This window comes from Homo sapiens, chromosome 1 (assembly GCF_000001405.40).
Source record: "Homo sapiens chromosome 1, GRCh38.p14 Primary Assembly".
In the NCBI taxonomy this organism is placed as follows: Eukaryota; Metazoa; Chordata; class Mammalia; order Primates; family Hominidae; genus Homo; species Homo sapiens.
Genome location: NC_000001.11, coordinates 115915311 through 115933859, shown reverse-complemented (window position 1 = coordinate 115933859; position 18549 = coordinate 115915311). Strand labels below are relative to the sequence as shown.

Below are 18549 nucleotides of genomic sequence, written 5' to 3'. Positions count from 1 at the left end.
CTAAGAGATGTCAGCAAACATGATGTGAGTTCAGTAAGTGTTTGCACATTGGCACATTGCTCTCACCACGTTAAGAAGTCCAAGGAGCCAACTTGAAGATGAAAGACCTACAGAGAGAAATGTCCAGATCCTCAGCTTTCTCAGCTGAGCTCAACCCCCTGGAAATCCCCCAACTGAATGCAGCGCCATGAGTGAACTCAGGTGAAACAGCAGAAGAGCTTTCCAGGCAACCCACAGAATCATGAGAAATAGTAAATTATTGTTATTAGTCTCTAAGTTTTGGAGCTTTTTGTCATACAGTCATAAATAATTAAAACGCATGCCTTATTTATTTTTTATCCATGTATTAATATATTTGTTTATTCATTTATTTATTTGGCAATTATTTAAATATCACAGGCACTGGGATATATAATGCCTGTAATAATGCTAAGCACTGGGAGATATAATGATAGACAAGACAGAGACTGTGCTGTGAAGAAGCATCCAATAAGGAGTATGAACAAAAAAAGATATGACTATATACCATGAAGTACAGGCTATGAGAAGAGTAAACACAGGGAGCTATGAAAGAATCTAATAGTGACATCTTACTCAATTTGGGGAGAGGGTGTCATAAGAAAATGCCTGATGTGGATATTCTGTGCATACTTATTTTCTGTTGTAATAGAGGAAAGAGAAATTCAGCAATTTGTTCAATGTCACTCGGTTATTGGACCGATATAATTTCTCCTGAATCTCATTTGATGGCTCTGTACTTAAAGGTTGTTTCTTTCCATAGCTGGTTTTTTTTTTTTTTTTTTTTGAGACAGAGTCTTGCTCTGTCGCCCAGGCTAGAGTGCAGTGGTGCGATCTTGACTCACTGCAACCTTCGTCTCCCAGGTTCAAGCGATTCTCCTGCCTCAGCCTCCCAAATAGCTGGGACTACAGATGCCTGCCACCACACATGGCTAATTTTTGTGGTTTTAGTAGAGATGGGATTTCGCCATGTTGGCCAGGCTGGTCTCGAACTCCTGACCTCGTGATCCACCTGCCTCAGCCTCCCAAAGTGCTGGGATTACAGGCATGATCCACCATGCCCGGCCTTTCATAGGTATTTTTTATTTTTGTTTATTTAGTTGGTTTTGTTTTGTCTACAGTGGAAATCCATTCTCATCAATAAAAGCTGGGTTCTTGTGATCCAAACCACTAGCTTTTCTGCAAGCATAATTTTTAACAACAAATTAGCCTGCTTTCCCACCCAATAATTGTTTACTAAAAATTAAATCGTAAAATAATGATTAAATAATTTTAAAGTAGCTAAGTTTAAATATAAAAAATTATACTGGAAAGATATATTCATTTACAGAGCAAGACTTACCTTTTTTTTTTGAGATGGAGTTTCGCTCTTGTTGCCCAGGCTGGAGTGTGATGGCGTGATCTCGGCTCATCGCAACCTCTACCTCCCAGGTTCAAGTGATTCTCATGCCTCAGCCTCCTGAGTAGCTGGGATTACAGGCATGCGCCACCACGCCCGACTAATTTTTGTATTATTAGTAGAGACGGGGTTTCTCCATGTTGGTCAGGCTGGTCTCAAGCTCCCGACCTCAGGTAATCCGCCCCCCTCGACCTCCCAAAGTGCTGGTGTTACAGGTGTGAGCCACTGCGTCCGGCCTAGAGCCAGACTTAAAAACACCAAATATTGAGATACAATTTGGTACCTTTTCCACTTTAATTATTGCCAGTCACTGTGTCATCCAACTGTTTTCTTCCCATCAAAATCTGAAGAAGCTCACAAACACAGTCATGTGCTGCACAATATGGTTTCAGTCACCAACAGACCACAGCTCTCATGGTGGTCCCATAAGAGTATAATGCTGTATTTTTACTGTACTTTTTCTATATTTAGATACTTTTAGATACACAAATGCTTACCATTGTATTACAATCGCCTACAGTAGTCAGTGCTGTAACATACTGTACAGGTTTGTAGCCCAGGAGGAAGGAGCTAAACCATATAGCCTAGGTGTGTAGTAGGCTGTGCCATCTAGGTTTGTATAAGCACACTGTATGGTGTCACACAATGACAAAATCACCTAATGATGCATTTCACAAAACATATCCACGTCATTAAGCAACATATGGCTATACTGGGACAAAAGTGATTTGGCCCAATAAAATGGCTGCTTTGAGATTATAACTGCCCTTACAGTTGTTCTTGCCTGTTGCACTTGCACAGACAGAGCCAATTTACTGAGATAGCATTATTACAATAGAGAAATAGTTTAATAAATGCAGAGCTGGCTAAACAGAAGACCAGAATTTTATTACTTAAATTGGTCTCCCCAAAAATTTGAAGACTAGGGTTTTTTAAGCGTAATTTGGTGGTCATGGGGCTAGGGAGTGGGGGAATGCTTTGGTTGGGTTGGGGCTGAAATCATAGGGGGTTGAAGCAGGTTCTTCTTGCTGTCTTCAGTTTCTGGGTGGGATGGCAGAACAAGTTGGGCCAGTTTACCAGTCTGGGTGGTGCCAGTTGGTTCATCAGGATGCAGGGTCTGAAAAATATCTCAAACACCAATCTTAGGTTTTACAATAGCGATGTTATTTATAGGAGCAATTGGGGAGTATATTAGTCGTTCTTGCATTGCTCTAAAGAAATATCTGAGAATGGGTAATTTATAAAGAAAAGAGGTTTAATTGGCTCATGGTTCTGCAGGCTGTACAGGAAGCATTGTGGCTTCTGCTTTTGGGGAGGCATCAGAAAGCTCACAATCATGGCTGAAGGCAAAAGGGGACCAGGCATCTAATATGGCAGAAGCAGGAGGAAGAGAGAGTGGCGGGTAGGGGTAGGGGGATGTAACACACACTTTTAAACAACCGCATCTCATGAGACTCACCATCATAAGAACAGCACCAAGGAGATCGTGCTAAATCATTCATGAGATGTCCACCCCCATGATCCAATCACCTTCCACCAAGCTTCACCTCCAACACTGGGGATTACAATTTGACAGGAGATTTCGGTAGGAACACAGATACAAACCATATCAGGAAGTTTAGAATCTTGTGGCCTCTGGCTGCATGACTCCTGAGCCATAATTTCTAATCTTGTGGCTAATTTGTTAGTTTTACAAAGGTGGTCTGGTTCCCAGGCAAAAAGGGGGTTTGGTTTGGGAAGGGACTATTATCATCTTTGTTTCAAAGTTAAACTATAAACGAAATTCCTTTTATAGTTAGCCCGGCCTACGCCCTGGAATGAACAAGGACAGCTTGGAGGTTAAAAACAAGATGGAGTAGGTTGAGACAGATTTCTTTTGCTGTCATAATTTTCCTATGTCACAGTTTTCTCACTGTTATAATTTGTGCAAAGGTAGTTTCAAGATGGTTCTAGGACCTTGAGGAGTCCTCAGTATCACAGATGGAAAAATCGGTATGTTAAGAAAAGTACAGTCATAATCACTAACCCTTATTTTAGTTAAAATACAAGCTTATACATAGAAACAAGGCTGCAGTATAGAAGAAAGTCCGCAAATAGGCAGTGCAGTTTTAATTAGTTGAGTACGGAGACTAATTAATATGCAAATGAGGAGCTTACCAATATTAATCATCTGTTTTACTAGGCGGCTTTTACTAAAGAGTTTGCAAATTAAGTTTCTTTGACATTAAAAATCAGCTAAACGCCTGTCTGAGAATAATCTCTTCTAACTCAAGGGCGGGAAGCGGGAATTTTTTTCTGGACGAAAAACAGCAATGTTTAAAACCAATTCCCATGTTGGCAAGCACTGTGCAAGAGTTCTGTATCAACCCTTTCCAGGCTCTAATTGAAACCATTTCAGCAAGAGAGACACCAGAAAACAGTTGGAACAGAGACAAATATGAGTCATGGTGATTTAAAGATACATGACCTAGAAAGTTACATCAAAAAACTTGCTTAAGTTGGTGACTGGCATTGTTAAAGCACAAAAGAGGTTAGAAATATTTGCTTAAACTCCCTTTTATGGCCTTTAACATACCCCTGTGGTTCTCTTTACTTGGAAATATTGAAGATTGGGTTGAGTGCTGACTTATCAGGGGTGATCTGAGTATGAGGACAGATTACAAAGTGGTCACTTTTGTTTTGGGATTCATTTTCATTCAAATTTGTGAAAAAGTATATAGGCTTCAGTTCAATTATGTTCATTCTATTTTCATCCTATTTGCAATGTCAATTGATTCCATTATCGTGCCACTTGGCTATTAATACAAAATTATACACTACAAATTAATACAATATTTTTACGTTTCCTACTTCCAGGCAGAATGTCAGCAAAGAAATTCTTTTGAAAGACAATAGATTGGATGCAACTCTTCTCTGATCCTCTGCTCCAGTAATTGAAATTCACAGTTGCCCTTAAAAATATTTTCTCTTTCATCATATCCCTATGGAGATTCAAAGGAAACTTTGAAATGATACCTTTTCAATGAGCTCACAATCTATGTTTCTTCTCAAATTTTGCACCTCTCCCCCCCGCCACTCTTCTATACCTATCAGCCAAAACTTACCACAATTAGGCTAGACAAATTTGTTACCAGGGTTCTCCTTTATGCATTCATTCATTCACTTGTTCAGTGAATATTGATAAGGTTGAACCAAGGTACAGAGCACCTCCCGCTGTATAAGATACTTTGGGATGCAAATATGTATAATTAGCAGTTTCAAGGGATTTACAGTCTACCAAGAAAATAAAACACGTGCCCAATAAGGCCGCTTTGAAGAATTATGTGATAAAAGCAATGAGAGTTGTATATCTCATGTGCTTGCTGCACATGACTTTGAGCAATCTTGTGAAAACATTCTGCCTCAATCTCTTTCTTAATATAGCAGAGTCCTAGTGAGATAACATCAGAGAACAGAAGATGATTGGTGATTTATTACTTTTCAGTTTTTACAAGTTTAAAGTGGCTTATATGACAAATATCGAAGAATGGTCCCACCTTTCCCAGAGTAGGGAGAGACCTTACTTTAGTCTGTGGATATGTTTACTTGCTGACTGTCAATGAGAATGAGACAATGACATTCACTTAAAGTGTTCAGCGGGGGGCCGGGCGCGGTGGCTCACGCCTGTAATCCCAGCACTTTGGGAGGCCGAGGCGGGCGGATCACGAGGTCAGGAGATCGAGACCATCCCGGCTAAAACGGTGAAACCCCGTCTCTACTAAAAATACAAAAAATTAGCCGGGCGTAGTGGCGGGCGCCTGTAGTCCCAGCTACTTGGGAGGCTGAGGCAGGAGAATGGCGTGAACCCGGGAGGCGGAGCTTGCAGTGAGCCGAGATCCCGCCACTGCACTCCAGCCTGGGCGACAGAGCGAGACTTCGTCTCAAAAAAAAAAAAAAAAAAAAAAAAAGTGTTCAGCGGGGAGCTCTGGACTATATTTTTCTTTTTCTGTTATGATTCTTGCTTGTCTGAAGCCTTATTTCTTTTGGTCAATACCTGTGCTAAATGTCCTGGTTGGTGGAAAATACTGTTAGGTTCAGATTCATTGAAATTCATGGCAAAAATGAAAGAAAGTCCTTAATCAAAGGCACAAGATAGATTTTGCAAAGAAATTACAGCCAGAAAATTAATCCAAAATGTGCTTTGGTTTGGGCTTCTGTACAAGCACGTCTTGGCGGCAGGTCTGGACTCGAGGTTGTGGGAGCTGCAGGAGTGGAAAATGGAAATGGCTCATCTGCACCTGCCCTTTCTCCAGAGATTTGGCTCATCATCCTCTCCCATGACACACAGGGCCAGTCCACACTCAGAGGGAAGTCTGCAGACCATCCTTCCTTGATGCCCAAGCCCCAGCAGGATGGCGCTCCAAGTCACTGTCACTAAACTGTATATGGTGTTTTACAAACAACTATATGATTGGATATAGAATGTATTTCTGTGGTATGTGTGAATTCCAGTTGTTTGCTCTAGAACAGCACTGTTCAATAGAACATTTTGCAGTGACAAAAATATTCTATAAATCTCCATGGTCCAATACAATAGCCGCTAACCACATGGCTATTAAGGATTTAAAATCTGGAACTGGATTTTTAATTTTATTTAATTTTGATTACATAATTTTAATTTAAATAGCCACATATGTCTAGGAGCTTACCATAATGGACAGTGCAGCCCTAGAAAATAACTTCATCCATTTTGATTTTATAAGTGGAAATGGAATATAACCACCCTATGATAATGACACAATTCTGACTTAGGCGCATGAACTAATTCTCTTAATTTTTACATAAATATAATGAATGAAATTTCAACACTTCTGCTATTGATGAAAAAGTAAGGCTTTAACCTTAATTGTCTAGATTGAATATATAACTGGCCAACTGCTCACTTTGATTTTTTTTCCGTTTATTATACATCTTGCATCCCACACCTAGCCATAGATAGGTAAGATTAAATTAGTTGAAGGCCGGGCGCGGTGGCTCAAGCCTGTAATCCCAGCACTTTGGGAGGCCGAGGCAGGCGGATCACTAGGTCAGGAGATCGAGACCATCCTGGCTAACACAATGAAACCCCGTTTCTACTAAAAATACAAAAAAATTAGCCGGGCATGGTGGCAGGTGCCTGTAGTCCCAGCTACTCAGGAGGCTGAGGCAGGAGAATGGTGTGAACCCAGGAGGCGGAGCTTGCAGTGAGCCGAGATCATGCCACTGCACTCCAGCCTGGCCAACAGGGCAAGACTCCATCTCAAAAAAAAAAAAAAAAAAAAAGATTAAATTAGTCTTCCATCTTAAGAGCACATAATAGGACCTTCTAATTAGGACACAAAATTATAAAAACATAAATAAAGTAAATGCAAATAATATGAATAAACTCTCTAGGTAATTCAAAATGCTGTTTGAATCAGACTTCTGAACAACTTGGTGGCATGGCTACACTGGAGCTAAATTTGCTATTATTTGAAAATTCTGAAATCAAGTACTCTAAATGATGTGTTCTAATAAGAAATAATCACCTCTTAAGAGTATGGTAACATGTGTGATACTAAGCACAAGTAATACAAAACAGCATATAACCTGAATTTTATGTATAGTTCACGTCTGGGAGGAAATGTTCCCAATGTTTGCACCAGAATTAGAAGCAACCAGAGACTCAATTGGTCTGATTCTTATAACTATGCGGGAGCTTTTCTGAGATGCTGAATGTGCACTTCTGAACCCCCTTCCACTCACCGATCTGTGTTGATCAGCCCAGATACATACAACTAACTAGAATTTCGTCACTTTTAAACCCGCACCATTGAGTTGATGCCACATCCATGAATATGATTGATTTAGACAAGACTGAAAAACATAGCGTTTTAGATAACCGGGGGTTCAGCCAAATTCTAAGGAGAGGCTTGAGAGCACCTGCTCCTCTAGTGGCATTAATATGGCTCCTGGAGGCTGGGCATGGTGGCTCACGCCTGTAATCCTAGCACTTTGGGAGGCCAAGGTGGGCAGATCGTGAGGTCAAGAGATCAAGACTATCCTGGCCAACATGGTGAAACCCCATCTCTACTAAAAATACAAAAATTAGCTGGGCATAGTGGCATGTGCCTGTAGTCCCAGCTACTCGGGAGGCTGAGGCAGGAGAATCGCTTGAACCTGGGAGGCAGAGGTTGCAGTGGGCCGAGATTGCACCAGTGCACTCCAGCCTGGGCGACAGAGCGAGACTCCATCTCAAAAAAAAAAAAAAAAAAAATGATTCCCGGAAAAATCAACCCACTTGTTTATACAGCCTGTCTTACTTCATAGGATTCTTGTGAAAATTAAATGAGATCCTGGGAGGGTTAGATGACTACAGCAGAAAGAGCAGTCAGATGATTAAAAAAATCTGAATTTTAATCCTGAGACTTTACTTAATGTCTTTGAGTTTTAGCTTTCTTACCTGCAGAATGAAGGTAGGAATGTCGGCTCCATATATCTCACAGAGTTTCTGCAAGGATCACGAAACACTCACTCTGCATGCTTTTTTTTTTTAATTCTGAGTTTGTTATAGGCACAGAGATTTCTGAATTTCTGGTCACTGTTTTTTAGATTCATTTACTTTTATCTAGTCCCTTAGTCACCAGTTGCACATATCTACAAAATGATTGGCTGGGATTAGTGGCGTGGTCTATGAAGGTGAAATTGAGTGAAACAAGAAGAACCATAAAAGGCCCCAAATCCGTGGCCTTGACTTCATTAAGCAAGCGCAATATTCATCTGTGCGATCCATCTTCAGTGAAATGCAGCCTCCTGACCTTTTGCCAGCTTAGCCCCGCTGTCAGCAGCTGGGGGGCCCTGCCACAGGGCTGGGGAGGGAGCCCCGGGTTGCCCACATTGCAGATCATCTCAGGAATATTCAAGAGGGACTGTAAAATAAACCCCCAGTCTTGTAATTTTATTTCAAAAAGCAAAAATTCTCCCAGATAATGAGCATTTTGCTCTAATAAGAACTGTAGGATTGATTAGGTTCAAACTGTTAACAGACATCCTTATGGTTAATGAAGCAGCACTGAAAATGCCTCTGGATTTTTTTGAAACTTAAATCATACAAAAGCAAGCAAAGAACTGGAGGTAGGGTGGAATAAACTGTCTGTTAGTTAATATACTCAAAATAATGGACCCAAAATGTTCTTTGAAAAGTTAATATGTATCAAGAGTTATTTCCCCAATGGGCAAGCAATAAACTTTGATGATTATTGTTGAAACATTCTTTGGATAACATATTTTTCTGTGAATCTTGAGTGGGGGACTGAAGCTTCTGCCATTTTAATTCCTTTGTTAATGTCTTTATGAATGCAATTAACACTTCATTCACGCTTCTTTGTTTCTGGATCCCATTAGGATGTGGTTTATGCCAGTTTCTCTCTCCCAGGAGACAGCCCGCATCACACAACATTTCACTCAGCTGTGTCGCTGAGCACTGACAAACTCAATTTACGAAAGGCAAGAGTGAGTTGACACCATGCTGTGGCAGTTGTCCTGATGGGAGGAAACGACTCATTTCCTTCCAAGGTAGAATCCACCTTCTCTGAGAAGCATGCTTGTGCACAAGAGTACTGAAGACAAGGAGGTAAGGAAAGCCTCTTGGCTGACACAAAGTAAAATCCCTGCAGTTGAAGAAATGCTAAAAATCAAATTTGGTTCCTGGTCTTTAAAGAAAAAACAGCTATCGCTTGCCCTGTAGGCACAACAGGCTGCTATTATCTTTATCAAACATTTAGTAAGAGCTAACTAGGTACAAAGTAAGGGAGAAGCCCAGAAGCAGAGGAAATGGTCTCTCTTTTCTGGAGCTTACAATGTAAATAAGAGGCAACAGATAAACATGACAAATACATAAGCCGGGGTGAAAGGCAACACAGCTAAGTCCTGAATGAGAAGCACAGACCAAAAGAACACTAGGAGTTCAGAAGTCTGTGATGGGGAATTTGGGGAAAGCTTTTCTGGGGAGGTGAGAATTAAATAAAAGCAGTTCCCCCAGCCATTCAATGATTGAACTCACCAGTAAAGAGGGAGAGAATAGGAGGAATTGCAGAGAGGGAAAGAGAGGCAAGCATTAGCTAAGATGCAAAGGTCCAAAATGAATAAGAAGGTTTTTGTTCATGATACATTATTTTCCCTTTATATTAAAGTCTCTCCTCCAATTGATGGCATCATTTCTATTTCAAATATCACTGTGCTATTTGCTTAACAGCCAAAGGCACTGCAAATGAATATATCTGAATCTTACTAGGAACTGTACAGAAGAAGATGCAGGAGGTCTGAAGGGAAGTCAGAGACAAAAGAAGGAAGGAAGCAAGCAAGCACTGCTCATGGTTTGGCATTATATTTTTTCTTTAAATGAAAAAAAAATCACCTATAGATAGGCCTTGTACCTGTGCTATAATTTTAAGTTCGGTTTTCTCTGACAAACACAAAAAAAGGGGAGAATTTCTAGTAAGTGTTATGAAGCATAACATATTACCAGAAAAGGAAGTAAAGCAGCTTATAGCCCAAGTCATCTGTGCCTAATATTAAAGGCGTTTTAATATGCCAAGGATGGTATTCCTTATGTAATTTTAACATTATTTAATGGTATGATAATTGGTTGTTTTCTTATTTCTGAGTTACTCCAGAAATCTAGCCCTTTTCCCATTAGCTATATATCCTTATTACCAAGATCTTCCTCACGTCTCTTTCCACCAGATCTGGGCTGTCAACGCCATCATATTCTATTAGAGTAAGGCCTGGATGTATTTCTGCCAGACTGGCCAGCCCCTAGGCATTAAAGCATTACAGACCACAGTCATGCCTAAGCACTTTTTGCATTAAGAATAAGGGTCATTTTGTTTACATTTTATCATATGAAGCTGCTCTTTGTGGGAAAAATGGCTTCCTATATTACAAATGCTTGGCCAAAGAACAACTAACATTAACATTAACACTGATTCTAATCAAAAGTGAAAGTGTTGGTAATTTTATGAAGGTTATTTCTTTCCCTAAAGCAAATAGCTGTCAATTGTCACTTTTAGAACTACCATGATTTATTGGAAGAATAACAACTCAGTAGAATTACTGAATTAATTCCCAAACATTTAAAGGGAAAAGAAAAAAAAATGATAAAAGGGATGGTCTGTATGGAGCAGGGAGGGGAAGGGATGGTTCTGAGGCTAAAAAACAAAAAAACAAAAAACCCTTTACTTCTGTCCTTGTGCATTTTTTTAAATAGAAAAAAGCCACTCTGCATTCCCTGGCCTCAAGCCACTAGGTCACTATGTAAAACATAAACAGGGTCTGTGTTTTGCTGCATTTGAGAAAGATGTAAAGGTGTAAATATGATGGAAGGGGTTTTATTTCCTTTCCCCTCTCAGGAATGGTCTGACAGCCCCAGGCTCGAGAATGTGTCTCTCCCAAGTACTCTGTCACCCTGGTAACCATGGAGACCATGACGATCGATTAGATGCCATCTGATCTCAACCTTATAAAAAAAAAGGCAGCAGATGGCAACCAGGCCACTAGACCTGTCTCAAGAGAGACGAAGAGGAAGAGCGAGAAAGAAAAGGAAGGAGGGAGAAAGGGGAGGAGGTGGGGGTGGGTTGGCGCAGGGAGAAGAGAGCCCAGAAGCAGCTCTGGAAATGAAAATTTTAGAAAAGAATGAAAATAGAAAACAAGGAAAGCAATGGAAAAAAAGAAACTAAAACCCATTGTGTGATAGACCTCTACAGTGAGTTGTGGGAAGATAATTCTACAGAGAAAGCGAATCAGCTGTCTCCTAACTTTCCACTTTTATACAGAATGGTGTGGAACCCGGGCCCCAAGGCTTCTCTGAGGGATACGCACCAAGTTGGCTCTCAGAATCGGTTGGACTTTGATGCATCCAAAAGAGAATTCTGAGACCTGGTTCTCAGAATAAATGTCCCTAATCAGATGAGACCTTTCAGGGGACTGTATGCATCAATACCTGGTATGTTTGTCAGCCCATCCCCAGCAGTGTTCTAATACTCCTTAAAGGAAGAAGCGATAACCAGGTCAGTAGATACCTAAGGTGAAAAGAAGACAAGAGCAGTTAAGTCAATTCTGGTAACCTAGGGGTCTTAGCCAGTGTCCCAGAGTAATGTAATGGCTAATATTGATGAAGTGTTTATGATATGTCAGACACTGCTAAGCACTACATACAGAATATTTAATTTAATCCAGATAACAATACCATAAGTTAGGTGCAATAATTATTCCCATTTTACAGAGAGGACCTGAGGCTTAGAGAGGTTAACTACCTTCATCAAGGGCATACCTAGAATGCAATATGTAAATGTTCAGAACAGCTTACTTATATAGAGAGTTGATTTGCTCACTCTTGTTCTTTCTTTTTCAATCCCCTCCCCTACCTTTTTTTTTGAGATGGACTTTCACTCTGTCACCCAGCCTGGAGTGCAGTAGTGCAAACTCAGCTTACTGCAACCTTCGCCTCCTGGGTTCAGGTGATTCTTCTGCCTCAGCCTCTGGAGTAGTTGAGATTACAGGTGTGCACCACCACATCTGGCTAATTTTTGTATTTTTAGTAGAGACAGGGTTTCACCATGTTGCCCAGGCTGGTCTCGAACTCCCAACCTCAGATGATCCACCCACCTTGGCCTCCCAAAGTGCTGAGATTACAGGCATGAGCCACCGCGCCTGGCCTTCTCCTCCTTTTTATTTATTTATTTTCATTTTTTATTTTTTGAGATGGTGTCTTGCTGCATCAGTCAGGCTGGTCTCAAACTCCTGGGCTCAAGTGAGCCTCTGCCTCAGCCTCCCTAGTAGCTGGGACTATAGGCATGCACTACCACACCTAGCATTTTTCCCTTTTACATTTTATTTCAGATTTTTGCAGATTACAAAACAGGACATGTCCAATATAGAAAACTGCTTAAAACAAGAGAAAGAAAGGGAAAATTATCTACAATCCCATTAGTCAGAGATACGTGTGATAAGCATGTGGATTATGTAATATACATATATATATATAGAGAGAGAGAGAGGGAGACAGACATGTATATTTTAAGCAAATATAGTATTAAATCTTAAATACTGTTTGGTTAACCTACTTTTTTTTGGAACATTATATTATGAAAAACTTTCCATATTTTTGACTCTTCTATTTTATCTGATTTAATGATTATAGCATTCTACTATCTGATGTATCATAATTTTATTTAACTACTTCCTTATTATTGGATTGTATTTCCAGATTTTTGCTACTATAAATAATGCTATGGTGATCATTCTTGTATGTAAACCTTTTTTGTACTCCTCTGACTTTTTTCTTTAGAATGAAAACATACTTGCTAAGTCAAAGTGTATGTTTTCTCAAAACTTCTAAATTGAGGTATAGCATATATACAACAAAGTGAATAAATCTCAAGTGTACTGCGATTTGAATTCTACAAGTGTATAGACAATGGGTACAACCACCACCCAGATCAATGGATTAAACATTTTCCAGAATGCTTTTCATGCCTCTTCCCAGTCAATAGCTATCCCCTGTTCTTGAACTTCATATAAATGGAATCATAGAGTGTGTATTCTTTGGTTTCTGGCTTCCTTCACTCAACATAATGTCTGTGAGATTCATCCATGCTGTGGAGTATAGCAGTAATTCATTCTTTTTATTGCTTCATAGTATCCTTTAAAAAAAAAACTACAATTTATTGATTTATTTTTTTCTGATAGACATTTAGGCTATTCTGAATAAAGCTGTTATGTATATTCTTATACATGTCTTTTGGATGACATATTTATACTTCAAAAAATATAAACTAGGAGAGGCATAACTAAATCATAGAGTAAGGCATACTTTCAGCTTTAAATGCAGAGTAAACATTTTTAAAGTTTTATTTTGCTTTTGGAGAGGGGGCCTACTTTTAAATTGATCTCCAAAACAGCTGTACCAATTTGAACTCCAACTATCCAATGTCATGAGTGTACCCTTCCCCTTCCCGCCTTACCACCAGCTAGTGGGCATTTTCATTCTTCTTAATCTTTGCCAGTGTGAGAAACAAAATGGTATCTCATTGTTTATATTGTGTTTGATGACCAAGAAAATGTTAAAAAATTCTTGCTATGTTACCAGATATTCTTGTTTCTTCTTTTGTAAATTGCCCATATACATCATTGCCCTATTTGCTATTAGCTTTAAGATAAGGCAAAAAGCTTAAATATAATCCATATAGTATGTATAGATCCATTGGCATTGTAAGAAAAATTCATTGGTATTTATAACCAAAAAATATTTACATTCTTTCCATAAGTTGACATCCTGCTCTATATATTTCAGAACGAAGTTAACATTTACAGAACACCAATTACTGAGCACATTTACTCTTTAAAACAGCCCTATTTATTTCATTCTTACAATTTCATTTAACTTCAGAGGTAGCATTTAGTTTTCATGAAAAACTCTAAAGGTATTTAATATTCTGCCTATTTTTACAAGTGCAGAAATCAAAGCTCACGGGGCTCAGGGTCACAAATGATTAAGTGGTGGGACTGGGATTTAAACCCAAGACACCTCAAGTCAAAAGTAAATTATTTTTCTCTTTTCTGTAGATGCCATTGCCTAGGTCAGTGCTCTGGCCTATCATCTGAATGTTTGTATCCTCCTAAAATGTATATGTTGAAATCCTCACCGCCATAGGTGATGCTGTTAGGAACTGGGGGCCCTTGGGAGGTGACTGAGTCTCGTGAAGGCAGGCCATCATGAATGATCAGTGTCCTTATGAGAGCTGCCCCCCAAATTTCCCTCACCTCTTCCACTATGTGAGGACACAGCAAGAAGGCACCATTTTTGAACAAGGAAGTTAGCCCTTACCAGACACCAAATCTGCTAGCACCTTGATCTTGGGCTTCCCAGACTCCAGAAATGTGAGAAATAACATTTCTATTACTTGTAAGTCACTCAGGTATGGTATTTTGTTACAGCTACCCGAACAGACTAAGATAAGCAGTGATTCTCTTTTTTTTTCCCCCACATTTCAAACCCTAAGAGGGCATCTGAATTCTAGAACCCCATCCTTAACTCCCTTCCATTCTCAACACACATCTACCATTCCACTACCAAAGTCCAAAGAGTATCAGGATCTCTGGGCTATCAAGAAGATGGAGAATATGAAAAAAATCCATGTTAGCTCATTTATTTTAGAAACTTTTCTTTGTGTGTGGTGTGTTTTAAAATCTGAGTAATGGTTTAATAAATCCAGAAGTAGAATAAGTAGAAGCAGAAGTGAATCTAGGATCTTTTCCTCTTGATAAGTTACTCCTTTTGGGGTCTGAAGCTTACATAATTTTAGAGGCTTTTTAAAAGAAAAAGATGACAAGAATATTTATACAAAATTAGGTTTGAGTGTTGATTTAAAGTGAGAAAAGAAATTGCTATCAATTACACATTTTAAAAATATTTAACTGCCACAAGAATCACAAAATTAAAAATATATATATATACATGGTACTTAATTGCCCTGACACCCCTATATAATTATGCCTTCATTTTTTGGCTCTATATATTCTTGGGTCACGACTTCATATAACAAAGATTTTTGTAGTATTTTCTATCAAGAGGGTACATATAAAGATAGATTAGTCTTTCCAGTAGCATGGTTGATCAAATTTGTTTTTCATTAAGAATTTGGAAAAGTTTCTGTGAGCTTCATAACTCATTATTTGTACTATCACATAAATGCTTGGGATCACAGTTTTAGGAAATTTCCATCAAATTTTTGTCATATGTGAACTCTAAGATTTCAGAGTATCTCTAATTTGTTTTCGTTGTTGTTACTGTTCAATGACTAATCTTTTTTTCTCTTTGAATTTAATGAATTTACATAAAAAAATTAGGTAGTCATTTTGCATTTAAGGAATAAAAATCTTTAAAAAAATACAAAGAATGGAAGGATTTTAGCCAAGTTTACACTTCTTTTTGCTATAATTTGTAACAATTCAGCTCATCATAACTTAATGCAATGTGCAAATGCAGCACGTATTACGATCACTTAACTAAATTTAAGGAAGTACATTGTTAATAGTGGCCCTCAGAGGAAATAGATTTATCTTCTTGTAAAAACTCCATGGTATATAAACATTACATAATAATGCTACTTAACCACCTCTTGTCTCAAGAATCATTACCCGGCGAGGTGCGGTGGCTCATGCCTGTAATCCCAGCACTTTGGGAGGCTGAGGCGGGCAGATCACGAGGTCAGGAGTTCGAGACCAGCCTGACCAACATGGTGAAACCCCGTCTCTACTAAAAATACAAAAATTAGCCAAGTGTGGTTGCGGGTGCCTGTAATCCCAGCTACTTGGGAGGTTGAGGCAGGAGAATCACTTGAACCCGGGAGGTGGAGGTTGCAGCCGAGATCCAGCCTGGGCAACAGAGCAAGACTCTGGTCTCAAAAAAGAAAAAAACAAAAACAAAACAAAAAAACCACAAATGCTTTAATAGTTTTAAAGCAAAAGCTGTTAGAGTCTAGATAGCTAAAACTATACTTGTGAGTTCAAGCTTACAGATAAGTAGCTCTTAATAAAATATATTTTGATATATGTAGTTCTTTTTTTTTTTTTTTTTTTTTTTTTGAGACAGTCTCGCCCTGTCACCCAGGCTGGAGTGCAGTGACATGATCTCGGCTCACTGCAAGCTCCGCCTCCTGGGTTCACACCCATTCTCCCGCCTCAGCCTCCCAAGTAGCTGGGACTACGGGCGCCCGCCACCACACCCAGTTAATTTTTTTGTATTTTTAGGAGAGACAGGGTTTCACTGTGTTAGCCAGGATGGCCTCGATCTCCTAACCTTGTGATCCGCCTGCCTCAGCCTTCCAAAGTGCTGGGATTACAGGTGTGAGCCACCGTGCCCAGCAAGTAGTTCTTTTAAGTAGTTCTTAATAAAATATCCTTCCTCCCCATGCCCCTACCCTAAATCTTATATTGTTCTTATAAAACTTTGGTCAAGAGTAAAAATATATCCAGGCAGATGTATATGTCATACAATAGCAAGAACAGTAAAGCCCAACTAATGACTTTAAAATATAAGACAATTATAATGTACTCAAAGGTACATAAAAAAAAGCTTTCATGGGGGTAATATTGAAACAGTCACAAAGGTTAAGAAAATAGTGATGTCACCTGGGCACCGTGGCTCACGCCTGTAATCCCAGCACTTCGGGAGGCTGAGGCCGGCAGATCACCTGAGTTCGGGAGTTTGATACCAGCCTGACCAACATGGAGAAACCCCATCTTTACTAAAAATACAAAATTAGTTGGGCGTGGTGGCACATGCCTGTAATCCCAGCTACTAGGGAGGCTGAGGCAGGAGAATTGCTTGAACCTGGGAGGCAGAGGTTGCAGTGAGCCGAGATTGCACCATTGCACTCCAGCCTGCGTAACAAGAGTGAAACTCCATCTCAAAAAAAAAAAAAAAAAAAAAAAAAAAAAAAAGAAAAGAAAATAGTGATATCAAAGTACAAATGGCTGCAATGTTAAAATAGACAAAAGCTACTATGCAAGAGCTTCTTTTAAAATGAAAAATATAGAACACAACACATGAGTCGGTGATTTTCCTGTTCTACTCATGAATTTTAGGTTGGTTAGGTTGACATTTAGAAGAGTTTCTTATCACATCTGATGGTGTCATTCCAACTTCGTAGGGTGGGTCTTCCCCAAGGAACCTCTAATCTTGGTTATTGTACAATTTCAAAGTAGTGCAATATCGCCATGATGTGCTGGGTCATGAAGATGTATCCTGCGTATCAATGGAAACCAGCGTGGAATTGAGCACCTTCCGCTCCTCGGGCTCCAGCATGTAGAGCATTGTGACCAGCAGGTGTTGGTAGTAGAACCAGGACATCTACTTCCAGGCCCGCACCAGCTCCATCCCTGCCAGGCGCCTCCTGCGATGAGGTGGCATTTCAGTCTCTCAATGACTAATCTTAAATATGCTATGAATTGATGGCATTCACTATTAACTAATTTGTGATCTATGTCCTCCTTCTAATGGTGTATTATGGTTTATATTATCTTTGTCAATATAAACATTCCTGTCTAATTATAAATTTAAATATTTTACAAATATATTCGTATAACTCATTCTTTTTTATTGATTAGATCATTAAATAATATAAAAGCCTATTTATTATTTCTATTGGCAATTTATCTCTTCCTCTTAATGATTTACTAATTTTGAATTTTTTTTTTTGAGACGGAGTCTCACTCTGTCGCCCAGGCTGGAGTGCAATGGCGCAATCTCGGCTCACTGCAACCTCTGCCTCCCAAGTTCAAGCGATCCTCCTGAGTAGCTGGAATTACAGGCACGGCACCACGCTCAGCTAACTTTTGTATTTTTAGTAGAGATGAGGTTTCACCATGTTGGTCAGGCTGGTCTCAAACTCCTGGCCTCGTGATCCATCCCCCTCAGCCTCCCAAAGTGCTGGGATTAGAGGCGTGAACCACTGTGCCCGGCTGGAAATGATACTTTTTTAAAAAAATATTTTTTAGAGACAGGGTCTCATTCTGTTGCCCAGGCTGGAGAGCAGTGGCAAAATCATAGCTCACTCCATCTTCAAATTCACAGGTTCAAGTGATCCTCCTGTCTCAGCCTCCTGAGTAGCTGAGACTACAGGCACACACCACCGTGCCAGGCTAATTTTGAAATTTTTGGTAGAGATAGGGTCTCACTATGTTGTGCAGGCTGGTCTCAAACTCCTGGCCTCGGCCTCCCAAAGTGTAAGAATTACAGGCATGAGCCACCACACCCAACTGTTTTTTGTTACAGTTTACTGCTAGATATCAGAATTATTTCTATTGACTTTATATGTAAATCTATGAAAAATAGTTTTATTGTATAGTACAAAAACACAATCATGTACACTGCATCTGCATGTGCATTCCCAATAGGAGAGAACTTCCTTTCAATTAGGTGTCAATAGAAACTAAATCCTCTGCTACAATTGATTGGAAAGAATTTTCCACAGACCAGCTTCTGGTTCCAATCCATTTCAAACCTTGCATTTCCTCTACTAGGGTCTCGGATGTATTCATATTGTGATTTAACCTTTAGATATGCCCCTTTA

At 39.5% G+C, this 18549-nt stretch overlaps 2 long non-coding RNA genes and 1 pseudogene across 2 annotated transcripts in view, besides 1 other annotated feature; 1 reads left to right on the top strand and 2 right to left on the bottom strand.

Moving 5' to 3' along the window:
* Window positions 1-11287, top strand: part of LOC101928977 (uncharacterized) — a 54704-nt gene extending 43417 nt beyond the window's left edge. The window contains exons 3-5 of the long non-coding RNA NR_125970.1: window positions 8850-9047; window positions 9708-9789; window positions 11248-11287. This is a non-coding gene — a long non-coding RNA (uncharacterized LOC101928977). The remainder of the gene's footprint in view (window positions 1-8849; window positions 9048-9707; window positions 9790-11247) is intronic.
* Window positions 5231-5732: an enhancer, noted in NCBI's record as "H3K4me1 hESC enhancer chr1:116470749-116471250 (GRCh37/hg19 assembly coordinates)". NCBI's record gives its function as "activates a minimal SCP1, AML or CMV promoter by ChIP-STARR-seq in naive H9 embryonic stem cells {active_cell/tissue: H9 hESC(naive)}" and the evidence as "EXISTENCE:reporter gene assay evidence [ECO:0000049][PMID:30033119]".
* On the bottom strand, window positions 7952-14484 carry LINC01649 (long intergenic non-protein coding RNA 1649). The gene is made up of 3 exons (NR_125969.1): window positions 14301-14484; window positions 11415-11493; window positions 7952-9084 (listed from the first exon to the last, which is right to left on the bottom strand). It is a non-coding gene; the product is annotated as a long intergenic non-protein coding RNA 1649 (long non-coding RNA).
* A 2676-nt stretch (window positions 14485-17160) lies between these two features.
* LOC101928952 (serine palmitoyltransferase small subunit A-like) lies at window positions 17161-17357 on the bottom strand (annotated as a pseudogene).
* Between the last annotated feature and the right edge of the window lie 1192 nt (window positions 17358-18549).